The following is a 26,775-nucleotide window of genomic DNA, read 5'->3' as shown; positions in this document are numbered from 1 at the left end:
TAATAAACTTATCTGCTTTTGAATACTACATAAATGTTCATACCTAGTATCTTTCACTTGTCATTATACTTGTGAGATGATATTGATAGAAAGCAATGTGATAATATTTATAAAATTTCCAAATGCGTAAACTCTTTGTCTCAGCAATTGTACTATGACGAATGTATTCTAAAGACATATGTCTATGAGCAAAATCACATTTTTTAAAACAAGTTTTTAATCTGCATTGTAATTACAAAATCTGTCAGTAACAACAGCAAAAAACACACAATAGAGAGCTGATTCAATATTTAATGGTATCTAGGTAGAGTAGAATATTATGCAGCCATTTCAAAGCATAAACCAGTTCTTTTAAATGGCACATTTAAAATAAACACATTTATATAGGTATAAATTATATCTGGAATGATACAAAAGTTGTCTCTAATTTTAAAAACACAGGTGAGGGATATTTATATTTCTCAATTTATCTTAGTTAGTTTGTATTGTCTGTTAAATGAAATAGTTTAAAATTGTTTTAAAAACTTAGAATTATTAAATGTAGACACCCTAGGAATATTGTTATAAGTAAAACAATTGATAACGTTACTTGTAATCTTGAAAATACTTGCAAATTAAAATTAGGATCTTTATTGTATATAATTAAAATGTATTTTATTTCACAACAATTTATATAGCTTAACTTAGTTTTAAAAAAATGACTGTCATAAATCTTTTCACTTTTTTACCTATGACAAAAATATAATAAAAAGTAAAAAAAATAAGCTACATGTGGCAAATATTTTAAGTTACTTAACAAACACTGGCACTTTTAAAACAAGGGAATATTTAAACACTGTGCACACAGACAATACTAAGCTTCATGTCTGATCCATTTTGTGGTCTATATTGAGCGTGTAGTACATTCTAGTACCAACTTTTAGAGGCTTTTGCTTTTTTATACTCTGCAGAATTGTATGAAATATCAAGGCAGTATTGTGATAGCTGATATTACAGAAACAAATTGAGGACCACTTTTCCAGATTAGTTCATTCAGTTACTACTTATTTGAGTATGATTTCCCATGGGTTGTATTGAAAACGAGAAGACATTTTCTCAGTCATTTAGAATGTGAAGTAGAGGAGAAAAGTAAATGGATCCAAACTATTTTCCTTTTGAGAAGCACAGGTTGTTCTTTGAAGTACTTGTGTTTTATCATTATGGATACTTCTTTACTGACACAAATAATCTCCCTTTTGAATCACAGTGTCCAAGAAGTGCAAGATGAAAAGATCTGATGTATACATTATTCGGTCAAGACCCTTCGTTGACAGAATAACTCTTTTTACTCTCTTTGTGTTGAGTCTTATTTTTTCTGAGAGTATCAGAGCTGTAGGTTTCTTTGATGTGGTTAAATTTCATCCTCCTAAAAAGAAACAATTCAAGCTATTATTGTCATCCATTATCTAATAACTTATATAAAGAGGAATTATTATTTTGCTTTGATTTTCACTTTGCTTTGTAACCAGGGAAGACCATTCATATCCCAGAAAGTTGTTCTCACCAGTAGAATCTGAGCAGAGCTGTTGCAATATTCACTTTTTGGGCCAAGCCTTTTAAGAAGTAAATGTGCCCCTTCCACATTCTCTTTACTCTTCCTGCTGTTAGAATCAAATGGAAAAGTGGACACAAGGGATGGTAAAACTGCAAGCTGGAAGTGGCCCTTGTCCTTAAATACATTACCTTGAATGTCATCTGCCAACCATAAAAACTGTATTGGTCCACTGGCTGAATGAGAAAATGCTTCTTACGCATAGTGACTCAAATTGTGGTGGCAGGATTAACCTACCATTAGTCAATCTCACATGATTGTATTAAAATAGACAAGACTTCTTGGCTGATATCAGCATTAGGAGGAAGTTGTATTGATTATGAAAAGGAAGTCTAAATCGCTTTCACAATTTTAGGATGTGTGATTAAATCAAAATAAAACTATTTACATCTGGTTGTGACCTGAATAGAGTTGTTAATTCATATGCAATCAAATTATGAAAAGAGCAAGCAGTTATAAACAACCTAATGCAGATGTTCAACGAAGAATATAGCCCAGATTTAAGCCTCAATGGTGTCTCAAAATACAACACATATTTTGAATTTTAAAATAACCACCTAATTTTGTAACAATAACTCCAGATTTCCAAGTTATATGATAAAATAAGTACAGTGTTTGTCTCAGTTTCTAAGCTCAGAGTTTTATTAAAATAGCTACCGGAAGAAAATTCTGAACAAATTTGGAATTCTCGGAAAATAGGGAATTGTATTATAAATAATCCTCAAGGAAATAATGGAAAATACATTGTCATTGAACCAGAATGAAGAAGTTAATGGGTCTAACTTATTAACTTCTATTCCTTTCTGAAACATGGGATCAATAAGGACCTTTGGGGAATCCCAGATTTTTTTCAGGAGTGAAGATTGGAGGTGGAAGTAAGGATTAAAGAAACCACATTGATTTTGTTTTATACCACTAATGAGTAGAAGTTTAAAGCAATGGCACTTGTGTGTAAGAGGTGTTTTACAACAGCTAAGTAAGTAGGTAGTTGTTAGGTGATAAGAGCTTGTCCTTGATAGGAATTAAGTGTAAAAGATCTTGTAGATCTCGACCTTCAGTTTGAAGCAATGAGTGTGGGATTCTTACAATTACCATTGTCAGTAGAAGACTCAAAATAGGCAAATTAAGGATACAGCAACAAAATAGCGAAAAGCATTAAAAATGATAGAAAACATAGTCAAAAAACCCTGTCTGACACCCTGTACCTTCAGGACTTCCACTTAATTTTATCATAGGCGGTTAGCAGCACTTGCATGTGTTCAATTTGTAAAGTATAAATGCTAGTATAAAGGCAATGGCTAAAATAAGAAAAAAAAAATCAAAGAGATCAGCTGTAGCAAGGAGATCAGTACATACTATGACATTGACATGGAAACTGGACCAAACAAAATCATCTCAGAAAGTTGGTCCTTCACAGGCCAACTACACCAGTTATCAGTAAGAAATGGCATAAAGGAACTTTGTATGCTGGGATCACCATAGTTGTGGAATTCTTCATAGGTTAGTAATTGCTGAGCTAGAAGTAGAAATGTTTCACAAGCTGATCTTTGGTTTAAGTTCTCAGAAGAGACACATAGAAACAAGAAGTTGGATAGTGAGCAGCAACAAGGTGAATTCACACAATTTTGAGGACGCTATTAGCTAGGACTCAAATATAAGTAACCAAACACATTCGCAAATATAAGCACATTCACATTCACAAAATGTAGCTGTACAAACTTGCAATACACAAAATAAGGAAAGTAATACTCGTTGGAGAGAAAAATATGTAATAACTAAAACCAGAATAAGATTATGCAATTAATCTAATTTCTATTTTATTAAAATTCAATAAAACTTGATGAAATGTACTTTGAAAAAAATATTAAACATGAGATTGAAATACCAAGTAGAAATAAAATGAGAAGCTGAATCAAATGTAGGCTGCAAGGCTAAAGTAATTTTTATTTAAAACAAGCAAAAGGAGCAAGGCGCAGTGTTTCAGGCCTGTAATTCCAGCATTTTGGGAGGCCGAGGCCAGGGGATCGCTTGAGCCCAAGAGTCCTAGACCAGCCTGGACAACATAGTGAGACCTCATCTCTACTACAAACTTTTTTTAAGAAAAGATTACCTGGGCATGGTGGCTAGCACCAGTAGTCCAAGCTACTCAGGAGGCCAAGGCAGAAGGATGGCTTGAGGCCAGGAAGTTGAAGGGGCAATGAACTGTGATCCTGCAGCTGCAGTGAGCTGTGATGGTGCTACTGCACTCCAGCCCACGCGAATCCCTTGTGGCAGTATCCAGGGCATCAGCGAGATCCTATCTTAATTTTAAAAAATCAAAAAGCAAAATGAATACTGCTAAAAGTATAAATAGTAATGCGAAGGAAAAACAAAATAACACAGGAACAGGAAACCAAACACCTTATGCTCTCACTCATAAGTGGGAGTTGAACAATGAGAACACATAGACACAGGGAGGGGAACATCACACACTGGGGCCTGTCAGCGGGGGTGGCGCGGGGGAGGTGGGGAGGAGATAGGGGAGGGATAGCATTAGCAGAAATACCTAATGTAGATGACGGGTTGATGGGTGCAGCAAACCACCATGGCATATGTATACCTATGTAACAAACCTGCATGTTCTGCACGTGTATCCCAGAACTTAAAGTATAATAAAATAAATAAATAAATAATTGCACTTAAGATGAAGAAAGGTCAACGATTATGAAATGATTTGTTACACTATTGAACAGGTTGACAGCTATTGAATAAGCTATTCCATATTTTCCAAAAAAGAGTCAAAAAAAAAGACAGCAAACAATGATGGTTTTATAGGCCAATCGTTTCATTTCCTTTCTAATTTAATCTGATATACCTAATTTATATGTTATTAAAGATTTTCTTTCAGCCTACAAAATAGTACATTAATTTTAGTGACTAAAAAATAGGATGAAATCCAAAACTCTTTGCTTTTACCATTTATCACCATTCCATCCGTATAAACCTATGTATCACATATAAATGTGATACAGATATACATAGATATTACACATATTTTCCCATAGCTTACAAATATTAAATCAAACCATACCCATTAGTTAATATACAACTTGTGTTTTGAATAAAATATTACAGATGATTCCAGGTCAAAACATTTTTAGATGTTTACAAACTAAATGTTGTGAACGTTTGGAAATACATATTCTATGTCCAGGCAAGACCCAGATAACTTAAATCAGAATCTCTTATTGCAGTATCCAAGGAGTGAATGATTTTAGAGTTTCCACCCCCCTGTACCTGGTGATTCTAATGCATAGACAAGGTTGAGAAAACTATATAGAGCAAAGTCATCAGCTTATAAAGCATCAAAATAACCCATGTGTGTCTTCACTATGATTTACCTATTGATGGATAGATCACCTCTCTGTTAGGCAGCTGTCTTGACAGCATTCCCTGTCTTCCCCTTCTTCTTTTTGTCACTTTGGCTTCAGGATTGGTAACAGCTTAGGCATTTAAAAAATATCATTTCCCTATACTTTCACTCATATAAAGAAACCCTCCTTAACTGTTTGTATTTTGAATCAGCCCATTTTTTTTTCTCTCTAGGGACCCCTAAGCATACACTGTGGATGAACTGCCTTTGTTATTACATAAAGCAAACTTCTACTTGTACATTAGCTCCCATCCCTTAATGCCCTCTTAAGAATATTGATCCAACAATTGTCTCTTCTATTTCTTGTATCACCATTTTTTCTCTCTTTCTCTTTGATAATTATTGGAGCTATGGAAACATTTAAATACAAACAGCAGTGATTGTTTCTTTCTTAAAAAGATCCTTCCTTTGAAGCCACATTTCCCTTCACTATCTCCTCATTCCTCTGCTTCCCTTTAGAACAAACCACACTGCCCCCAAACCACTATTCAGCCATTCTGATTCCTCTTCTACATGCTCTTCAACCTCTACACACATACCACCTCATTTTAAGGGTCTTATTTTCACACTCCATTCAAACGGTTCTTGGGAAAGCCACCCACTCCACTTCTACCTTGCCACATTACATTCTCTATTTGCAGACTTCTTAGTTGAACCATCAAAATATTTGGAAACATTTCAACTATTTCCTCCCTGAAGCACTTTTCTTGGTTGTATTTTGGCATATCTGTGTCTTTTGCTGTTTCTCTCACATCATTCCTTCTCTTTCTTAGTCTCCTTTGGTAGGAACTTCACCCTCTGACTTCTAAAAGTTGGAGTGCCCCAGACCTCAGACCTCTTTGCTATGCTATACCCTCATTTTCGGGTTATTCAAGTAACTTTATGTCTTTAATGCCAACTGGATGCCAACTGTGCAAAACCCTCCAATGGCTTTTCACCTCACTAAGGTCAACACCAAAGCCTTTCAGTGGTGTGCAAAAGACTACAAGATCTGAGCCCAGCTAGCTCTGTGACATCACCCAGAATTCCACTCTCCATAATCAGTCTCCTCCTCACATTGGACAAACAATCGTGATCATACCTTGGGGCCTTTCCACATCTTATCCCTTCTGCTTTCTGAAGGACACCCATATGTTTCATTCCCTTCCTGTTTCAGTCCTCAGATTAATATCACCTTATTATAAATAGGGCTTTCTATGATCCCTCTCTGTAAAATAACAACATTCTCCAACTCGACCTACTCTATCCCTATCATCCTACTTAATTTTACTTCAAGACACTTAACATCGAAATCACAATACATTCAATTGTTTATTTATTTATTGTCTGCTTCCCAACCTTTCCCCACTAGACTATAAATATTGTATAAATCTAAGAGCTTCTTTTTTTTTTTTAATTCAAGTCACTGATCTCACAGCATCTAGAATGGTATCTGTTACAGAGTAAGTATTTGAGAATTTCTGGTTAATTGGATGAATGAATGAGTGTTCATTTTCATTTTCTCTTCTGTGGATTACTTGTGTGTTTTTTAAAGTTATATCTTATGTTTTCTTCATATATAAGAAAATATAACCTTTTGCCCTTTACTTGCCAAATATTGTGTGCTGGTTTATCATTTGTCTTTTAATTTAGTTTATAATGTCAATTGTCATACATAAAAATTTGATATTTAATTTTGATAAAATTGCTCAATTACAAAATGATTATAACAGGCAAGTAAAATGTGTCACAATAAATGGCTTTTTCTTTTCTTTCTTTTCTTTTTTTTTTGAGACAGAGTTTCATTCTGTTGCCCAGGCTGGAATGCAATGGTGCAATCTGGGCTCACTGCAACCTCTGCCTCCCTGGTTCAAGCGATTTTCCTGCCTCAGCCTCCTGAGTAGCTGGGATTACAGGCATACGCCACCACGCCCAGCTGTTTTTTTTTTTTTGTACTTAGGATTTAGTATTTAGTAGAGACAGGGTTTCAACATGTTGGTCAGGCTGGTCTTGAACTCCTGACCTCAAACGATCCACCTGCCTTGGCCTTCCAAAGTGCTGGGATTACAGGCTTGAGCCACCATGCCCAGCTCAATGGCTTTTCATTTCACATCTCTCTCTCTCAGACTCACAAAATATTAACACTTTTATAAAATATTCAAAATGAAAAATAATCTTTAATGAAAGAAGGACATATCTGTAACTTGGAAGTACAAAATGCTATTTCTTTAAAAATCTACCAAATGTAATCTGGGATAAGACAGCATGCTGATAAGTAACACACACTGCTTCAGCCCTCATATAATAAGTTTTCTCACAGGTTGATGTCACTTTTTCAGCAAAGTTAGGTCAAACGATTACTATATGCAAGAGACAAAGTAAGTGCTAAAGATAATATTGAGAAATACAGTGTGTGACACCCCTTATGATTAAAAAAATGCATTCTTGGTATCCAACAAAAGACTATAAAAGGCAAAAAACAGCAAAATTAATAAACATGTATGTACACATAATAAACATGCATTTCTATATGCATATGTATATACATACATGAGTATGTGTGTGTATGCAAATATTCAGTGCTCAAACTGTGGTAGTTACCTAGACTTTGCATCTTCCTCCTTTATGCTCCATCATCTTTAAATCCTAACACATTACCATAAAGTGAGGATTATGCGTTTCATCCAGGATAATGTAAAGTAGCATGCTGAGCTAGAATCAAAAATGTTTGCTATCTTAGCATATTAATTTTTCATGGGTGAAATTGTTTACCTAGACTCTTTAGAAAAGGTTAGTCTGGTCTAATCCTTAAGAAATTCTATTCAAATTAATGCTATGACAAATTAAATGTCTTCATTTTTGTATACACTAAAATATCAAATGGAAATTATGATATTTAGTCATCTAATAGTAAATGTTCCCTGTAGTACTTAAGGACTTACTAGATTATTGATAATAAACTCTCTCATAACTTTCTGAGTGAAATTTTATACGTGTGTATGTGTGTGTGTGTTTGTGTGTAAAATATAATTAACATATGTGAAAGTTTTAAGTTTTTTAATTTCAAAAAATTTTGACAAGCATTTTATCTGCATACTCAGTAACATATAGAGATGACTTTTATTACTTGATGTTGAGCCTTTAAAATATAATGTAACCTTAAACATTTTAATTTGTCTTTTAAAAAATTATGGTAAAGATAATATTTTTGCAGGGCAGTTTGTAAGACATACAATTCAGTTTTATTCTAGATTTTATGCATGGCTCTCTTCTAAAAATTGTGTATACTAAAACTTATTTTGATGTCATGTTCCAACTTATATTTATCATTCCTACCAAAATATGCCATTAAATAAGTATTTTAAAATACTTTCTCTGTATCAGAACCCCAGAATTAAGTCTCTGGAAATCTTTTTAAACACTGAGAAAGAATTAATTTCCTTCATGATTTGTTGTTTCTTCCAAATGGGCAATAAGAATCTAGTGCCTGCTTATTTTTTTTTTAATTCCATTTGTAAAAAATAAGCTCAGATTCAAAAAGGAGCTGCAAATTTACGCAGTTAATGTTAGAATTATGATAGCAATTCTAATCATATATGCTTGAGTTTGATAATTTTCACCATTTATTTGTATGTATTTATAATTTCAAATTCATTATTATGGATTTCTTTTTGAAATTGTAATACCACTTTAATATTTAAATATTAAATTTAGTAAAGATATTCCAGGGCTTTTAAATAACTTATAATGATTATGTTTTTATTTTTATTTAAGATTACAATTCGTAATTGTTGTTTCATTAACTATTGTGTGTCTGTGCTTTTCTAAGTTTTTGTTAGAGACATACATCTGGGCCTTAGTATTCTTGTAGAATTACAATGGCACATCAATATCTGTATACCTTATTAGCTTTTCAAAGAAACGATTCTGAATTTTAAATTAATTTAGGCTTAAAAAAACTATACATTTTAAATACCATTAGTACAATTGTACAAGTAAAAAAAGACATTAATTTTGAAAGCACCTTGAAGAAAGTTTTTTATTTGGTGGCAGGTAATAGAAAAAAAAGTATTTCATTTCCTGTGATTTGCTTATAGTTTAACTGGTAAACACGAAAACTCTGCCTGAAGACATTTCTCATTTTGAAAAGCACTGAATTTTAATTTCTTACAACAATCTTCTCAGAGTACTCATTAAAATAAAACCTTCAATTAATTTAATTTTAACTAATTCTTCTTGAAGCCTTGAGTCTCTTAGCTACTGGATCACATGCCAGACTTGTAAAATGACATCTTTTTATTTCTTTCTAAATTATAAATTTTCTATATCCCTGGAAATATTTTGATAGTATATCATAAGTCTGAGTCTGGAAAATTGTAAACTTATATAAAACTCATACAGATAAAGAAATAAAGAATACACATTACTTACTAAAATCTGTAACGGCCCTTCCAAAATGATTTCTTAAAAATATTATTTGTTATAGATAATGCTAATTTAAAGACATACATTGCTCCAGAAAACCACTATATGATGTCACCTATAAATGCATTAGAAGTATACATGTAGAAGTGAATTTATTAATGCTACTAAGAGTGCTCATAACTGTAGCTAATTAATTGCTTGCGACCACACTGGCATGATTTCATAACAAGGATAATAGGCTGAACTTGGTAAATGTTGAATCAGTGGAAACTGGTAGATTCACTGATTGATTGAGGTCAAATTTCCCTATGTAAATCAAAATATGCAATACAAAAATTAAAACTATTGACATATGCTTCTTAGCATCTTCTATCTAAAACATTAAGCCTACTGGTAGAATTATTCTTTTTTTTCTTTTTTTGAGACAGAGTCTCGCTCTGTTGCCCAGGCTGGAGTGCAGTGGCACGATCTCAGCTCACTGTAAGCTCCACCTCCTGGGTTCACGCCATTCTCCTGCCTCAACCTCCTGAGTAGCTGGACTACAGGCACCCGCCACCACGCCCAGCTAATTTTTTTGTATTTTTAGTAGAGACGAGGTTTCATCGTGTTAGCCAGGATGGTCTCGATCTCCTGACCTCATGATCCGCCTGCCTTGGCCTCCCAAAGTGCTGGTATTACAGGCGTGAGCTACTGCGCTGGGCCCTGGTAGAATAATTCTACCTTATTTTACTATTAAATAACTTGGGTATCATTTAAAATAAATTATCAAAATTAACACTGATTTTTAAGTGGACTGGATCTCTTTAATATTTGTTTCTATTATTATTATTATTAAGAGATGGAAACTTGCTATGTTTCTTAGGCTAGATTCAAACTCCTGAGCTCAAGGGATCCTCCTACATCAGCCTCTCTAGTAGCTGAAACTACAGGTATGTAATATTTAACTTTTAAACATGGTATGTTCTAGACTTTAGAAGCAGAATATTTGAATTTTCTGAAAATATTGAGCAGATGGGCAAGTCTGGGACCCTGAGAGACCATGATAAAATTATTTAGAAGTAAAATTAGAAAGGGGCCATTTTTCATAGTCATTCTTTGAATGGAGTATAAGTAACAGTAAGTTATTCCGAAGGCCTGGAAGATCAGTGTATCTTTGGAACTCTTTGGTTTTTCCAAGGTCTTAATCTTGGCAAGATTTTGAACTTTGCTGTCACAAATATCCAACAAGTCAAATTAGGCTGTGTTAGAGGCAGAATGTTTTATTTTTTCTTAACCAATTTAGCTCTAGTAGAACTTTGAAAGATTTATTGCAAGATATAACCTTTACTGGTTAAGTTAGCAAAATCAAATCAATTCTAAATATCAAAATAGAAGGAAGAATTGAATACAAAAACTGATACTCTTCATCATTGGCATTTTAAAATAAGAAATCTATCTAATTTTGTTTTGAGAGGATAGTAGTAAACTGCTTTTTCTTAGCAAAATATAAGTTAACTTCTATTATAACTGCACAATAAAATACATGTTGACTTGCAACATCACATTCTGTTCTCATAAATACAGTTAGTATCTATTCATGGCCATGGTTGTCATGTAATAGTCGGGGAAGAGGGTCTCTGGTAATATTGGAAACGTTTGAAATACTAGTGTCTAGGCACTGACTCATTCAATGCTAAGAAAATATGACAAGGAAAAGAACTATTAATATATTACGTATTTCCTGACTAGAAATAAAATAAGGATGTTACAAGAAAGACTGCCATAATTAAATTGGTATTTGTATAACCTAAGCTAACTATGGTTCATGTACCAACCCAAAAGATTTAGAAAAACACTGGAATCATATTCCACTTCAGAGAAGAGAGATTAGAAAAAGACACTGACTCTTAAAACTGGTAGTGTTGGTGACCTAAGCAGTAAGAATGACTGAAATAGCCAAATTAATTATCTTAACTCTATGTAGTTTGCTGACTTCTGGAAATTACAGGGAGAACAAAGTTTATGAGTAAGGCTATGAAAGAACCCTGAAAATAAATTCAAATTGCTCAAACTGATACTTACCTGGCAGGGGAGATACCACAATCACAAATTGCTCAAACTGTTCATTTTCTTACATCGTGGAAAGGTAGAATTTTCTTTTGGAAAGAGCAGAAATTTGCATGAAGAGTTTCTTAATAACATAACAATCAGTTAAACAGACTGGTGCTTGCTAAATATTTTCAAGGCTTTAGTGTCTTAAACTTATCACATGAGCGGGGTTAAGTTGGTACTAGTATCTATAAAGCTGCATCGGTATGACTCTAGGGAAACTGGAAGCACCTTGGTTAGGGGATTATTTTAATCTAGCTAATGTTTTATCAATAATTGGGTTTATAATAAAAACAAATTAGTTTATTCTAAAAATTTAGTGTTCAGATGAACATGTAGGGCATAGGTCCTCTGAGCTCGCTGAACCAAGACATTACCTAAGACACAGACATTGCTCAACCTCCCTTGGGTTACCCTGTCAAAGCAATGGCATGACACGCTGACATAATGTTACCCTGGGGAATGAGTACTGGGCTCTTAGTCTTGTAGAATTGCTTTATCCACATGACATGTTGGCTTGTCATAATTCTAACCTCCAGTTTTCTCTTAAATATTTTTGTTGCTTTTCTTGCACTTGTGTTTTGGGGCCTGAAATTAACATAAGAAGAAAAGAGAGCTTGACTTTTGGTTTTGGTGTGATACTGTTGAGATGATGTCTCCAATATAAAACTGGGACTACTTCATAGATTTTTAATTTTTAAAAGAATTTTACTTATCTTACTTTAATTTCTTATTAGGGTTTTGATAATAGGAAAATTTTTATAATGATCAAATATGTGGCATAATAGTTTTGACATTGTATTATTAAGATTGATTTTATAAGATCATTTGAATCATTATATAATCTTCAGTGAGTTATAATTAACCCTGTTCCTGGGAAAAATAATTAAGATGAAAACATAAAAATGTGTAATTTGGAGCTAGGGAACTTTATGGCCTTGGGTTTCTGTAACTAGTGTATCTGTCTAAACCATTTCAGGTCTTTCTGGGGTCAAAAACATAAGCAACTAAACATTGCTATGAGAAGGATACATGTTGCATTAGAAAATGAGAGTAAAATAACTATGCTAAACAGATATTCCCCTTCCCTAAAGAACATGGGAATAGCTTAAAGAATAGCTAAAGAATGCTGGAGAGCCATTCACTTACTGTTATGCCCAGTGGTTAACAAAACAAAATGGAGGGGATTGCATGGAGTCAACAATTCCGTCTTGTTTCCTATGTTCCTGAATATAAAACAAGATCCTCTTCTAATATGGCTATGCACCTGGAAAAATTACCAAGTGTGTCTCTTTACTTGTTTCACCCCAAGGGAGTGAGGACGGACTTATCTAAATAATGCAGACATTTTGTGATCTCCACGAAGAAACAGGATAGACCCATCCCCCAAAGTTTTGCTTGGAATGTCAAGACTGATGATGCCACATACACACTAAGAGGTTAAGGAAACAGTTTATTACTCTCATAATGAGACTTTCTCAGGAGAGCAGGGCAAGCAGCAAGCAGGTCCAAAAGTGGTTTGAGAGAGTATGAAAAGTTGCCTGGCTTGGGTTTTTTGTGATTAGGGAAAGGTTAAGGTGAAGGTTCTCACACGTGGGCTAGGGCTTAATTGCTTTGAACTCCTGGCTTCCAAAGAAGGAGTACCTGTGCTTTCTTTTCGGCGTGCTCAAATATGGGGCAGAAGAGGCAGAGGGAGTGGTGGGAATTGAAAGAAGCCAGCAGTAAAACATAAAAAATGAAGTCAGAATCTTTATTATAAATTAGAAGTAAATTCTATTGGAGAAAAATTTCCTTAGAAAGAGACAAAGGATGAGACTACATCACAGCAAGAAAACTATGTGTCTAAGAGATTGGAAGTGAAATTTATAGCCTATTTAAGCAATACTGTTTCGAAAGATACAATGGAAATTCTCTTTCAAAAAGGTAGAGTGAAATCAAATTTGAGTACCTAACACATGATATTGGAGGGAAGAGGAATTTAAACTCTCTAAATTAAATAGGTATATAAAGAGATTATGTAGAAGAAAATATGATAAAATATATTTTTTTTCTTTTATTCTTCCTTTTCTCTCCTTCCATCTTTTACCATTTTAATGCAATTTTCTCAATACATTGGCTTGTTTTAATTATCCTCTCTATTTTCTTTTTTCATTTCCTTTTAGACAAATGTTGATATGTGAACAAAAGCAAATATTGGAAGCATATAGTTTACTATATTACTTATATATATAAGCATATAGTTTATAGTCTGGTTTTTAAAGTCCTAATTTAATTTAATAAAAATTCCATAGTCTTTCTCTTAACCATACCAAATGATTATCTTTAGTTTTTGTGGATTCTTCTACCTTACTTTCATTAAGAAAAAGCTGTAGCTTTTCTCTAAAATTTCTCTGAGACATGGAGTTTGGCAAAATAATGCCACCATTCAAAACATCCCTGGAGATTTCCCAATTTAGAGCTGTAGATTGGATTTTATATTCACAAGATTTGGTGCAAGAAAATAATTATTTTTGAAATATTGTTACTTCTACAAATAAAAATGTCTTATAATGATGTTACTGAAAATTAAAAGCTTGTTTTTATTAAAATCCAAAGAGGAAATAAGATAATGAATACTTCTTAAAATATAATTAGCCTAGCTTTTTTAAGGACTTGGGGATTCATATTTCAAATCATAAATTTGTGTTAGGAAATGAAGTAAATGTACTAGTTAGGTACATTATTTTTCTTTTTATCTTCTTTAATGGATGCATCTAAAAACATACCTATGTTACATAAATTGAAAATATTCTTAGAAAGCCTATAGTCCAACTCACTTAGCACATCTGTAAACTAAAATGCTTTTAGAGACCCTGGCTTGCCAATGGTAACAAGTCTGATAGGAACAGCATTCCTGAGCTGAAGTGTGATTAACTAAAAAGATAAATAGATAACTTTAAAACTGCAGCACTGAGGATGTAGAATGACCATGTAATATTAATATCATGGAAAAATGTGATCAACTTTTTAGATATAGCTACTTATTTATTAGGCTGTTGTAATACATATACTGTGAGAAGAAAAATGTAAAGTTGACCTCATAATTCCCCATGGAGAGGAAGAAAACCAACTGACAAAATATTTTCATGGATCATTTTAACTGTGGAAAGATTTTTCTTAGGTTAGAGTTCAAACAAATCAAAGAATAACTTTATCTGAAAAAAAAATAAAAATTTAAAGGCTGGGTATGTACAAACGGGAAGAGAGGAGTTTAAAGGAGGTGGAAGGTACTCAACAATATAACAAGATGCTTGAGTCAGGGTAGAAGATGTGACAAATGAAATTTCTCTGACAAGGAATCAAAGACGGATGAAATAATAGAAACAAGATACAAATATGTTTAAATTTAATTTTGCATTCTATGCTAGGATTGGATGAATTACAATTGTTATCTTGATGCCTAGGGTAACTAAGTAAAATGGGACTATATTTCTCTCACATTTGTGTTGCAAATAAGGAAATTACTATAGGAAGCAAGAAATGAGAACGTTCTTAAAGGTAGGAGAAGCTGCAAATGTACCTCAGAAGTGACCAGGTATAACAAAAGTCCCCTAAAATCTCTGGCAGGCATTTTAAAGGGTGCACAGTTCCCAACCATACATGGAATAGGATTTCAGCCAATTTTCTTTCAATACCAAAATAAAAATTATCCAGAGCTGACACCTAGTTATGTAAGTTAAAATTCCAATGAACTCTTACAATAAATGCAGTTTCCCAATCAGTATACACAGTTTCAAAAAGAACATTCGGAAGAAATATTGATAAATTTTATGCTTTACATAAAACCATTAGTTTTTACCAATAGATATTTTAAATTTTATTATTAAGATTGTTTTTGATTGACAAGTCATAATTGATCACTTATGAAGTACAATGTGATGTTTTGATATTTCAAAATAACTGAGAGTAAATTTCAAACGTCTTACTTTTTTTTTTTTTTTTTTGAGATGGAATCTCGCTCTACCGCCCAGGCTGGAGTTCAGTGACACGATCTAGGCTCACTGCAACCCCCACCTTCTGGGTTTAAGCAATCCTCTGGCCTCAGCCTCCTGAGTAGCTGGGACTACCGGCGCGTGCCACCACACCTGGCTAATTTTTTGTATTTTTAGTAGAGACAGGGTTTCACCGTGTTAGCCAGGATTATCTCAGTCTCCTGACCTCGTGATCCGCCCTCCTCAGCCTCCCAAAGTGCTGGGATTATAGGCGTGAGCCACCACGTCCGGCCTATTAAAGACTTCTATTGCATTAACAGTGTTACTACTTGTGAAAGAAAATTATAAAATACAATTAAAAATAGCAGAAAATAAAATCAACTACATAAAATTTTACCACTTAATAAGCATGATTATTACTAAATAATCTAGTTATACAGTTTTATGAAAATATTATTAAATGAGATAATATAGAAGCGTTTTAATATTTCATAAATGTCTTTACATTTTAGTAAATCTTTTTTCAAAAAACATTTTCTTTACATAAAGTAGTATCATAATTTACATATTATCTTCCATTTAATGCTAGATCATAAAAACGTTTTTATATCAGTACATGTAGCTCCTACTTATTTTGTATACAGATGAGCATCTGTAATCCAAAAATCTAAAGTATGAAATGCTCCAAATTCTAAAACTTTTTGAGTTCTAAAATGATGCACAGGTGGAAAATTCCACACCTGACCTCGTGTGACAGGTACAGTCAAAATGTAGCCACACAACTCAGTTTTTTAGAGTCCCCAAGAGAAAAAGACCCTCCCAGTCCACTTAAGCTGTGATATCTTTTTCCATTGCATGCCGGGATTCCCCCAGGCAAGCATACACATTAAAGTTTTTTTGTTTTGTTTTGTTTTGCTTTTTTTTAAAAAAAAAAAGAAAAAGAAAAAGAAAAGAAAAGCATGTGGTCAGGGCTAAATGCACCAGTGGCAGGATCCCCACAATGCCCTACATGGAACCAAAATCTATGTGAATTACTCATCGAGATTGTTTGCATAATCTCTGCTGTACGGTATAAAGATATTGTTGAAAAAGTCAAAAAAGCCTGCAGATACCCCTATCAGTAACAGTGGGACCAAAAATAATAAGCATTTATGTTTATCTATAGCATAGAAAATCAAGCTGTTGGAGAAAGAGAGCAGTGTAAGTGTGAAATGTCTTACAGAAGAGTATGGTGTTGGAATTACCACTATATATGGCCTGAAGAAACAGGATAAATTGTTGAGTTCTATGCTGAAAGTGATAAACGAATGTTAGTGAAAAATAAGAAAACATTGCATAAAGCTAAAAATAAAGATGTCGATTATATTTTGGAAGAGTGGATCTGCAAGTGTTGCAGTGATTACTATTACATGTCAGTAATAGTAATCATAAAATAAGCAAAGATCCATCATGATGAACTGTAAATTGAAGGGAACTATGAATATTCAACACACCACTTGCAAATATTTAAGAAAAGACATGGCATTAAATTTTTAATGATTTCTGCTGATAAAGCATCTGCTGATCACAAAGTAGCAGATAAATTCATTGAGGAGTTAACAAAGATCATTGCAGATGAGAATTTACAACAGAACGAGTCTTTAATGCTCATAAAACATCATTGTTCTGATGTTATTGCTCCATAAAGACACTGACCACAGCTGACGAGACAGCTTCTACAGGAATGAAGGATGCTAAGGATAGAGTAACTATGCTGGGATGTGCTAGTGCAGTAGGCAAGCTTAAGTGTAAAGTTGCTGAAATAGGCAAAATTTTGCATTTTTGCTGTTTTAAATGAGAGAATTTCTTATCAGCCCATTATTATGATAACAAAAGGCATGGATCACCAGAAACATCTTCCTGATTGATTTCACAAAGCTCTTCTACAGGTGATTCATGCTCACTGCAGGGAAGCTGCACTGGGTGACAACAGCCCTCAAGTGAGAAAAAAAAATGGCTGACTTTCCTACATATGCAAAAAAATATACCTTCAGAATTCATCAGTAAGCTTGAAGAAGTAGATATCAAAGAAGTTTTATACATTTATATTGAGGCTACAGTTGTTCATTCATTGACTGATGGTAAAATAGCCAAAATGGTTGTGAATTAAGGCAATCTTGATAATAGTAAGAATAGAGATCATGTCGTTGACATTGAGGAAAAAGTGCCTATATATGACATGGTGAAAAAGTGTGATGGGCTTATTTAAAAACTAGAGCAGGGTGCATTCATAACAGAAAAGATATTATGTCAGTATAGAAAATCAAAGAGAGACTTCTAAGACAAAACGTATGTTTAATGAGGCAGAAGACCAGAGGAAACACCTTTAAAAAATGTCTAGTAGAATTCCTCCTTATCCCTAGAGGACCAACTTCCTAGTCTCCCCACTGCTTCTGATGTTTCTCCTCACCTAAAAGAAAAATACAGCATACAGCAACTTTTAAATCAATACACAACGTTGTAGGTGGTGACTGAAAGCCTGCTCTTGTTTGTTTTTGCAGTTGTTTAACAGCAGACACAAGTATTCTGGTGATGCTACTACTTTAGTTACCCTGAACACGTTTTCACTGTATTAATTGTATTTTTTTTACTGTTAAGTACTTTTATATGAATAAGTGTAAAAAAAGATTGCCTATTGGTAGCATATAAATTAAGAGCCAAGAATGATGGTGATGGCAAACAACCAGATTGTCCCCATGGGTGGCTAAAATTGTGACAAACTTTCTTTTAAAAAAAATTGCTTAATTCCAATAGTTTTTGGGGTACAAGTGGTTTTGGCTACATGGATGAATTGTATAGTGGTGAAGTCTGAGATTTTAGTGCACTTGCCACCTGAGTAGTGTACATTGTACTCAATATGTAGGGTTTTTTTTTATTCATTGGCCCCCTTCTGAGTCTCCATTTCATTATATCATTATATCGCTCTGAATGTCTTTGCATACACATAGCTTAGCTCCCACTTATAAGTGAGAATATATGGTATTTGGTTTTCTCTTCCTGAGTTACTTCACTTAGGATAATGCCCTCCAGCTCCATCCAACTTGCTGCAAAAGACTCTACTTTGTTCTTTTATATGGCTGAGTAGTATCCCATGACACCTTTATTTTATGATGGTTCAATGTACATGAAGTTTGTTTCATCCAAAAAATTCTTTAAGGTATATATAAAATTACCTTCAGACTCTATGTTTAAGTTGTATATGAGCAATAAATGAATTTTATATTTAGACTTGGTTGGGTCCCTTCCCCAAGATATCCCATAATGTGTATGTAAACATTCCAAAATCCAGATACACACCCACACACACACAGACACACACATGCAATTTATAAACTTGATTTAAAATATACTAAAAATGCTATACTGGAAATGCTGAAAAATTTGTATAGTTAAAAAAATGTAATTTCTGTCTCCTACTCCATTCAAACTTACCCCATTATTACTAAGTCAAATACATTACTTACTATGTGACTGTGGATAAATGGATTTACCTCTCTAAGTCTTAGTCTCCTTGTCTGTAAAAAGAGCTATAGTCCCAAGGAAATACAGTTGTTTGTTTTGAGAATTAAGAGAGACAATATGTTTAATGGTCTTCCTCGTGTCTGGCACACATTTGTTACTCAGTCTGTGTTAGCCCTTACTTACAGATATGAATCATATTGTTTTTTTCCTAGCAATGCAAACATTTATTGGATACTTACTAACCTAGTCAGCTAATAGTGATTTCCAAATTAGGTAATTCCATATTTATGAATTGACATGTTTCTTTTGGTCTTGGTTTAATTCTCCCGTGAGAGAGAGAGGGAGACTATCCTTGATAGTGTTATTACTGAATATTGAGGCAGATATATATAATTTTCTAATAAAAGGGTTTTCAAATAAATACTTTGATTTAGAACAAACTATTAAAATTTACTTAACTGATAAAAAATTTTAAAAGGGTAACTCTAAGAAATATATTGAGCCAAATTATTTACAAAGCCAAAATTGTCCTAAATATACATACTATAGTATTTTATAGAATTTTATTTTATAGTATTTTATATATAGTATAGTTATATATTATATATAGTGTAGCATTTTATAGAATTTAGCTAATTTGCACAAAAAATATGCTGAATGCAAGCAGGCAGTCAGCAAGTAGCTTAAAAAGTGTGGGGAATTTCTAGTATATAGGAAAGATATACATTAAAAAAAGCTATACAAGTTTTCATACATCATCCTAGTTTTAGTAAATAAAAAGCAGATATTAAATTTGTGTCAAGTTGTTACATTAAGCTTACTCTGATATCCTGTTTTTCACAATTTTACATCAAGTTTAGTCTCATGTTCTGTTCATCATAAATCTTTATAAGCACCTCCGTAGCTCCCACAGTGTAATTAGCACATCGGGTTAGTCACATCCTTCAACCTGCTTCAGTAAAGTTAGATTAAGTTCAGTTTCCCTTGTATATATGTCTACATATATATATATACACACACATATATATATACACATATATATACACATATATATACACATATATATACACATATATACACACATATATATACACACACATATATATACATACACACACATATATATATATACACACACACACATATATACACACACAAACACACACACACACACACAAATACATGCCCGTACATACATACATAGCTCCCATTCAGGGTATTAACTAATCATTTTCGTTTTTATTTATTCAAAAAAGCAACCCTTTGCCTTACAAATAAATGATATACTTTAAAATAAATGCCTTATTATTTTCTTTGTCTTTTTCTTTTTTCTAAAATTTTTCATTTATTTTTATTTCTTAAAAAATTAAATAAATGCTCCCAATGTTATGGATTTGGTTTTGATTTCTACTTTGGCTGCATCCCACACCTTTTGATAGGGAATGTTCTCAACACTATTATTTTCCAGGCATTAAGTCAGTGCAGTTTTACTTGTTCTCTGATATGAGAATTAATTATTAATTTTTTCCAGATTATATTAATCAACTAATTAATTAGCTAATAACCAAGTAACGTGTTTGTATTTGTTTATAGTTTTATTAAAATGCCTGTAATATTGACATTTATATTGTCAGTGATATTTTTTCCTTCATTTTTGCTCTTTGCATTTATTTACATTTTTTGAGATTTACTATACGGTCATTTTTCTATGTTTCCTAGACACTTAAAGAAAATTAGACACTTTATCTAACATATCAAAGTGGAGGATTTTTTACCAGCTTAAAGGATTTACAGTTGACTAAGTAGACTTGTGAAGAGGCCAAGAACACGAATAAACCCAGCAGGGAAATAGGAGTTTTTCTCTTTCTGAGAAAACGGTTTTGTCAAAACATCGTGCCAGACTTGGTTTGGTTGGCTGCCATTTCTGACACCGAAATGGCTTTTACTTTTCATCCAGTGTCACCAGACTGCCAACCACAGTGTAAGAACAAATATACCCTAGATGCCTTGTGGCAATCAGTGGCCCATTCTTGATTGAACAAATTTGGCCTAATTGAGCCTGGCAGAAATGTGCTGCCTCAGGAATCTTTTTTTCTCAAGCAGAGGTAGCAAGCTGATGGTCTAAGAGAAGGGTGATCATAAAATTCATTAATTGTCTAAACTGGACATATTCAACAATGAAAGGGGTTCTATTAATGCTTATTCTGAGACAATTGTAGAAAATCCTGAATTATAATCTCCCTAACTGTGATCTAAATGAGCCTACAATGTGTTGATGGGAAAAAGATTTAAATTAGCTGGCAATAGTTAAAAAATCAGAAGAGTTTACATAAGAATTCACATTGCCATTTTCTCTTGAAAATCATTATGAGATTTTAACAATGAATGTTCCGTACTTGGTTCTCAGAGAACTCTGGGAAGCTGACTCTGAGATTGAGCTAAATGGGCAGAATGTTAATTAGGGAGTGCCCTTAGGATCAATACCTGTGGAACAGCGGAGTCTAGGCAAGTTGGTCAGAGGGAGGCAACACCAATGACAGCTTGAGCTGACCCCAGGAGACACTCTAGAGTTAAAATGGCCCAACACAGTGTCCACATTTATATTCTGCCTCAAACTAGCATTGGTTCTATGGTGGCTGGATCAGATTACACTGGAGGAGGCTGCTGTTTAAAGTGGAATCAATCCTGGCCAGGTGCAGTGGCTCATACCTGTAATCCTAGCACTTTGGGAGGTGTAGGAGGGCGGATCGCCTGTGGTCAGGAGTTCAAGATCAACCTGGCCAACATGGTGAGATTCCATCTCTATTAAAAATGCAAAAAATTAGCCCAGCGTGATGGAGGCTGAGGTGGGAGAATTGCTTAACTTGGAAGGTGGAGGCTGCAGTGAGCCAAAACTGTGCCACTGCACTCCAGCCTGGGTGACAGAGTGAGACCCCATCTCAAAACAATGAAAAATAAATATTTTTTTAAAGTGGATGGAATTATTGAAGAAGCTAATTGCTAAAGTACATCTACAGAGATAGGCACTAGTTCCTTGAAATGGTATCTTGGTGGCATGTGCTCACTAAAATATATTATTACACTTCAGATCAGCAATCAACTAGAGATAAGGAACTTCCTCCACGTTATAATGCAGCATTTCGATTGTTTTCTACTTGCCCAAGTCACATCTTGCTATTTTGCTCTTGGCCTCTATGTTGATTTGAGCCAGTGACCTTTAATCTACAGCATTATATGTTGCTGGCACTACCAAGTAATCATTCTGTTCTTAGCCTCCTGTGGGGTCCTAGGAGCTTGTGGGGTCCTAGTGTTGACTGATGACTTTAAATTCCTCAGAACAGTGAGACCAGTGGCTTGCAACCCAGTCAGACCCATTGCCCCATTTTTAATTGAATATTTTATTCATTCCCTTATCTAACCTGAAATGAAATTCAGAATTATGGCTACATACATTTAAAAAATATAATGCCCTAAGTATAATATAAATGTATAATAAAATGGAGAATAGATTATAATAAAAATATTTTATACACAAAAACTTGGAGATGACTATACAAGTGGAAATACTGAAAGAGCAAAATGCTTGTGCCTAAATGTAGAAAATCATAGAAAATGTCATGAGTACAACTGTAGACAGAAATGATTCTGTGAGATGACCTATTCAAAAAATACAAGAAAACAGTTTCCCAAAATGAGGAATGACTCATTCTATGCCTTGTAAAAAAAAAAAAAAAAAAAAAAGTATGGTCTTGTTTTAAATCTACATAAATAGTAATTACCTTACTGTAAAATTCATTGAGTATTAAATATGTACAGAAATATTTTGTATTTATGTGAAAAATAAAGGTTCTCAACACAGTTATTAATAAACTCACTTTCACCTACATGAGTAATCAATATATCATTCAAATTATGAGGGATGCAAGATATGGAGCAGATCTTGTTATGCAGAACTGTTGAGAGCATGGCCAGATTTCAAGCATTTCTGGCACAAATCCAGTAATTGTGAATAGCACCTTTCAATCAATAATGCCTTCACACTGGAACATCCATGTTAAAAACCACTGGACCAAAGGAACTTTAATCAAATTACCAATCCACTTGACAGTCCTTGCCCCATTTTACCTAATCCCCAGTGGTTCATCATCTCCATTGCTTTTCCATTAAGCCATACTGTTACAGGAAGAAAATTTATCAATCTGTCTAGAGCCTCATCTACCCCATATATATCAAACATTCTTCATAGTTTCTGGCATTTTCAAAATGATTTACCCTAGCTTCCAGATGATACAGCTTCCATATTTCTTCATTTCTTAGGCTATTTCTTATAAACTAGAAAGGAGATATTCAAATGTGAACTCATGCCAACACATTTCTGGGAAGCTCTAAATATTTAATTCTGCAAATGGAAACATTCATTTTAAAGAGATCTTGTTATCCTAATCTTATATTGAATATTTCCTTCAGGAGAAAGCATTCTCCGAGAATATATGAAAGATAATTTTGACTCTCATTTTTCCAATATGATTACAGAAACTTCATTAAAAATGATTGGGGACTTTGGTATTATATTTAGAGAACAAACTTAATGTCTACAATATATACACAGGATTTAATAGATTCAGTAGGCTGAGGGTAGCAGCATGGTAATAAAACACCATCAAAAACTTGCATTTCAGTCCCACTTTTGTCAGTAACTAGTTATATGAATCTAGGTAAAGCATTTAACTTCCTTTGGCTCCATTTTCCATCTGTGAAATTATTGAGTTGGAAAACATGATCTCTAGTGGCTCTTTCAGTTCAAAAATCCACGGACTTTTCTATATTTTTCAGATGTTAAATTGGCAAGAATTAGGGTTTGAGAATTTTTTTGGAAAGCTTTTGACTATATTTTTCAAATACAGATGTTTGGTTACATATAGACTTTCCCTGATGCCTAACGATATATGACCTCAATTGCCTTCAAGCAGATTATCCATCTGCTATCTTATGTTGACTGAAAATATAATTTTAAAATGTCTTCAGGAGAGTAGTTCCATGGAATATGACATACTGGAGACACAACAAGGCATGACCCATTTCAGCATAGGTGGAGGGGAACTGGAACCTAATCTACTTAGTAGTAGGGGGCAAACACCAAGGTGGCTGACCCATCTCCAGCTATTTTCTTGGGGAAAATCTATACTGGCAGACATAACTTAATAACTCAAATATACAACACATGATAGGTAATAATTGCAGACATGTCATTGGTTTCCAAGAACAGTATAAAATAATAGATCACATAAATCAATGTTGACTGACTTTAATATCAACATATATTCTTTATTCATTGACTAACTACCGATTGAAGGCCTGCCATGTGTCTCTAATAAAAAAGAGTTTGTATATTGATATTCAATATTATGTAAATCATTCAGTGTAGGAGAGAGTATTAAACAACACTTACACTTAAGTAGGAAACAGTAAGCAAAAACAGAAAAAAGAGGGAGAGCAATCTTCATGAAATTGGAATATTACCCAGACCATTAAGTGGACTCAAGTTAGAAACAATAAAGACGCAGTTACAGAAACTATAATTCAGTGCAGGATTTTATATCAGGAACAATGTAAAAGTCTAGTCTTCATTAAGGCACCAACTAAAGACTATTAGTTGCCAGAGCTCATAACTTGTACTTCCTAAATGTTTGAACTTTGTTTTCCAAAAGTCTTCTGAATGTTCTCAGGCAAGCTTAGGCTTACAGTCACAAGGTTTCTTTAAGATCTCCAAAGACACAGGCATTTAAAGACAGCACTCAATATCATAAACAAATTAAATATAAGCATAGTGCACATTAAATTTTATTTTAAAAAATGAAATTATCTTATTTTGTGTGTTTTATATAATATACATATATATATATATATATATATATTTTTTTTTTTTTTTTTTTTTTTTTTTGAGACCGAGTCTCACTCTGTCTGCAGTGGCGTGATCTGGGCTCATGCAACCTCCGCCTCCTGGTTTCAAGTGATTCTCCTGCCTCAGCCTCCAGAGTAGCTGGGATTACAGGCATGTGCCCCCACGCTCAGCTAATTTTTGTATTTTTATAGAGACGGAGTTTCACCAAGTTGGCCAGGCTGGTCTCCAACTCCTGACCTCAGGTGATCTGCCTACCTTGGCCTCCCAAAGTGCTGGGGATACAGGCATGAGCCACCATACTGGCCTTTTATAATTTTTAATGAGCTATGATTTTTCTGCAAACATCCTTCATACAGAATGTTTTGTGTTTTTACAATTTAAAGAAAATTGTATTTTTGTGTCCCACTGTGACTTTAAAATATATCCATTGGAAAAAATTCTTCCCTTACTCCTGGGAGATATTTTTGACGATTTTCAGGTAATACAATTTTCATGATCATTTAATTTTACTAAAACAGTATCAATTTAGAAATTAAAATACTCAGTTCTATGTTATAATCCAGACTATGAATTCGATATAAATTTTTACATGACTCTTTCTGCCCCCCAGCTGGGGCTTTCTATAGGTAAAAGGAGGGGAAGAAAATGAGAATTTCACCCATTTAATACCTTATTGTTTATGGACACTTCAAGGTTTAAGGAGACTAGGAAGAAAAGAGAGTTGAATGATTAGAGATTAAGATCAGAAAATTTCTCCCTTAACTAGTATTGAGGTAACTTAATAATTATATCATGTAGTAATTCCATTTTTAACTTTTTGTGGAACCACTAGGCTGTTTTCCAAGGTGGATGCAACATTTTGTATTCTCACCAATAATATATAAGGATTCTAATTTCTCTACATCCTCACTAACATTTGTCATTTTCTGACTGTTTTATTATAGCCATCCTAATGGGTGTCAAAGGATATCTCATTATAGTTTTGATTTTCATTTCCCTGATGGCAAATGCTGTTGAGTATATTTTCGCGTCCTTATTAGCCATCTATATCTCTTTGTAGGTAAGTTTTGAAAAGTTAAATATTTAGTAGGTCATAAAGTCATCTAATGATGTTAATAAATTTAGTACGTTTAAAAAAATATTTACTATTTTTCATACATGCTCTAAAAATGTTAAATTGTTGAGTAGCTACTTCACATTAGCTTTCCTTAATTTTTCAAAACTTGTTAATAAAATAGCTATGCGAGCTATAATAATCCTTAAAGATGATAAAACTAAGACTGAGGGAGGCTGAACAGCTTGCCCGAGCTTATACAAACATCACTGGAGCAGCCAGGGTTTCTTGAATGTAAGCTTTTTACGTTGAATGTGGCTGTTGAGAAGTCAGTTAACACCTGAGAAAGATTTTAGAATAGTTGAGAAAAGACAAATTCAGGGAGAAGCATAGTAATAATACAAGGTAATAAAGTGGGGAAGATACATAGTTGAATGCTTTGTGAAGTTTAGTTGCAAAGTGAATTTTTTTTAAGATGAAGGAAATAAGGGTATATTTATATGATTAAATCACTTAAGTGGCAAAGGAGAAAGAATAAAATAAATGACGCTATATTATACCCAGTAGAGTTCAGCAGCTCAGTCATGGGATGACAAAGGATGAAAGCCAAGAAGTGAAGGCATTAACCTTGACTAGTAGTTGTGCAAAGAGAGTTTAAGGTTAAGACTTTTTCTGAGTCTTGGGAAAAAGAAGTAAGACAGGATTTAAATGATAACCTTTGTTTTTAAGGGAAAAGGAGCAGATGGTTTCCAAAGCTTTTTGGTGGGGATATTGTGTGTTTGCTTTGCTTCTAAATCTAAATTTTGCCGATTTTTTCTTCCTAAAGTTACTGTGTTTCCAAAATTACAGTTA

General features: G+C 33.6%; 1 long non-coding RNA gene across 1 annotated transcript in view; it reads right to left on the bottom strand.

The window, feature by feature from the left end:
• Positions 1-715: 715 nt before the first annotated feature.
• The window catches only part of LOC102724340 (uncharacterized), a 246,221-nt gene continuing 220,161 nt past the window's right edge, over positions 716-26,775 (bottom strand). Inside the window, exons 4-5 of the long non-coding RNA XR_001739819.1 lie at positions 3,702-3,891; positions 716-1,405 (exon numbers count right to left, since the gene is read on the bottom strand). This is a non-coding gene — a long non-coding RNA (uncharacterized LOC102724340). The remainder of the gene's footprint in view (positions 1,406-3,701; positions 3,892-26,775) is intronic.

This window comes from Homo sapiens, chromosome 2 (assembly GCF_000001405.40).
Source record: "Homo sapiens chromosome 2, GRCh38.p14 Primary Assembly".
Lineage (NCBI taxonomy): Eukaryota > Metazoa > Chordata > Mammalia > Primates > Hominidae > Homo > Homo sapiens.
The sequence above is the reverse complement of the archived record's forward strand: the minus strand, read 5'-3'. Positions and strand labels throughout refer to the sequence as shown.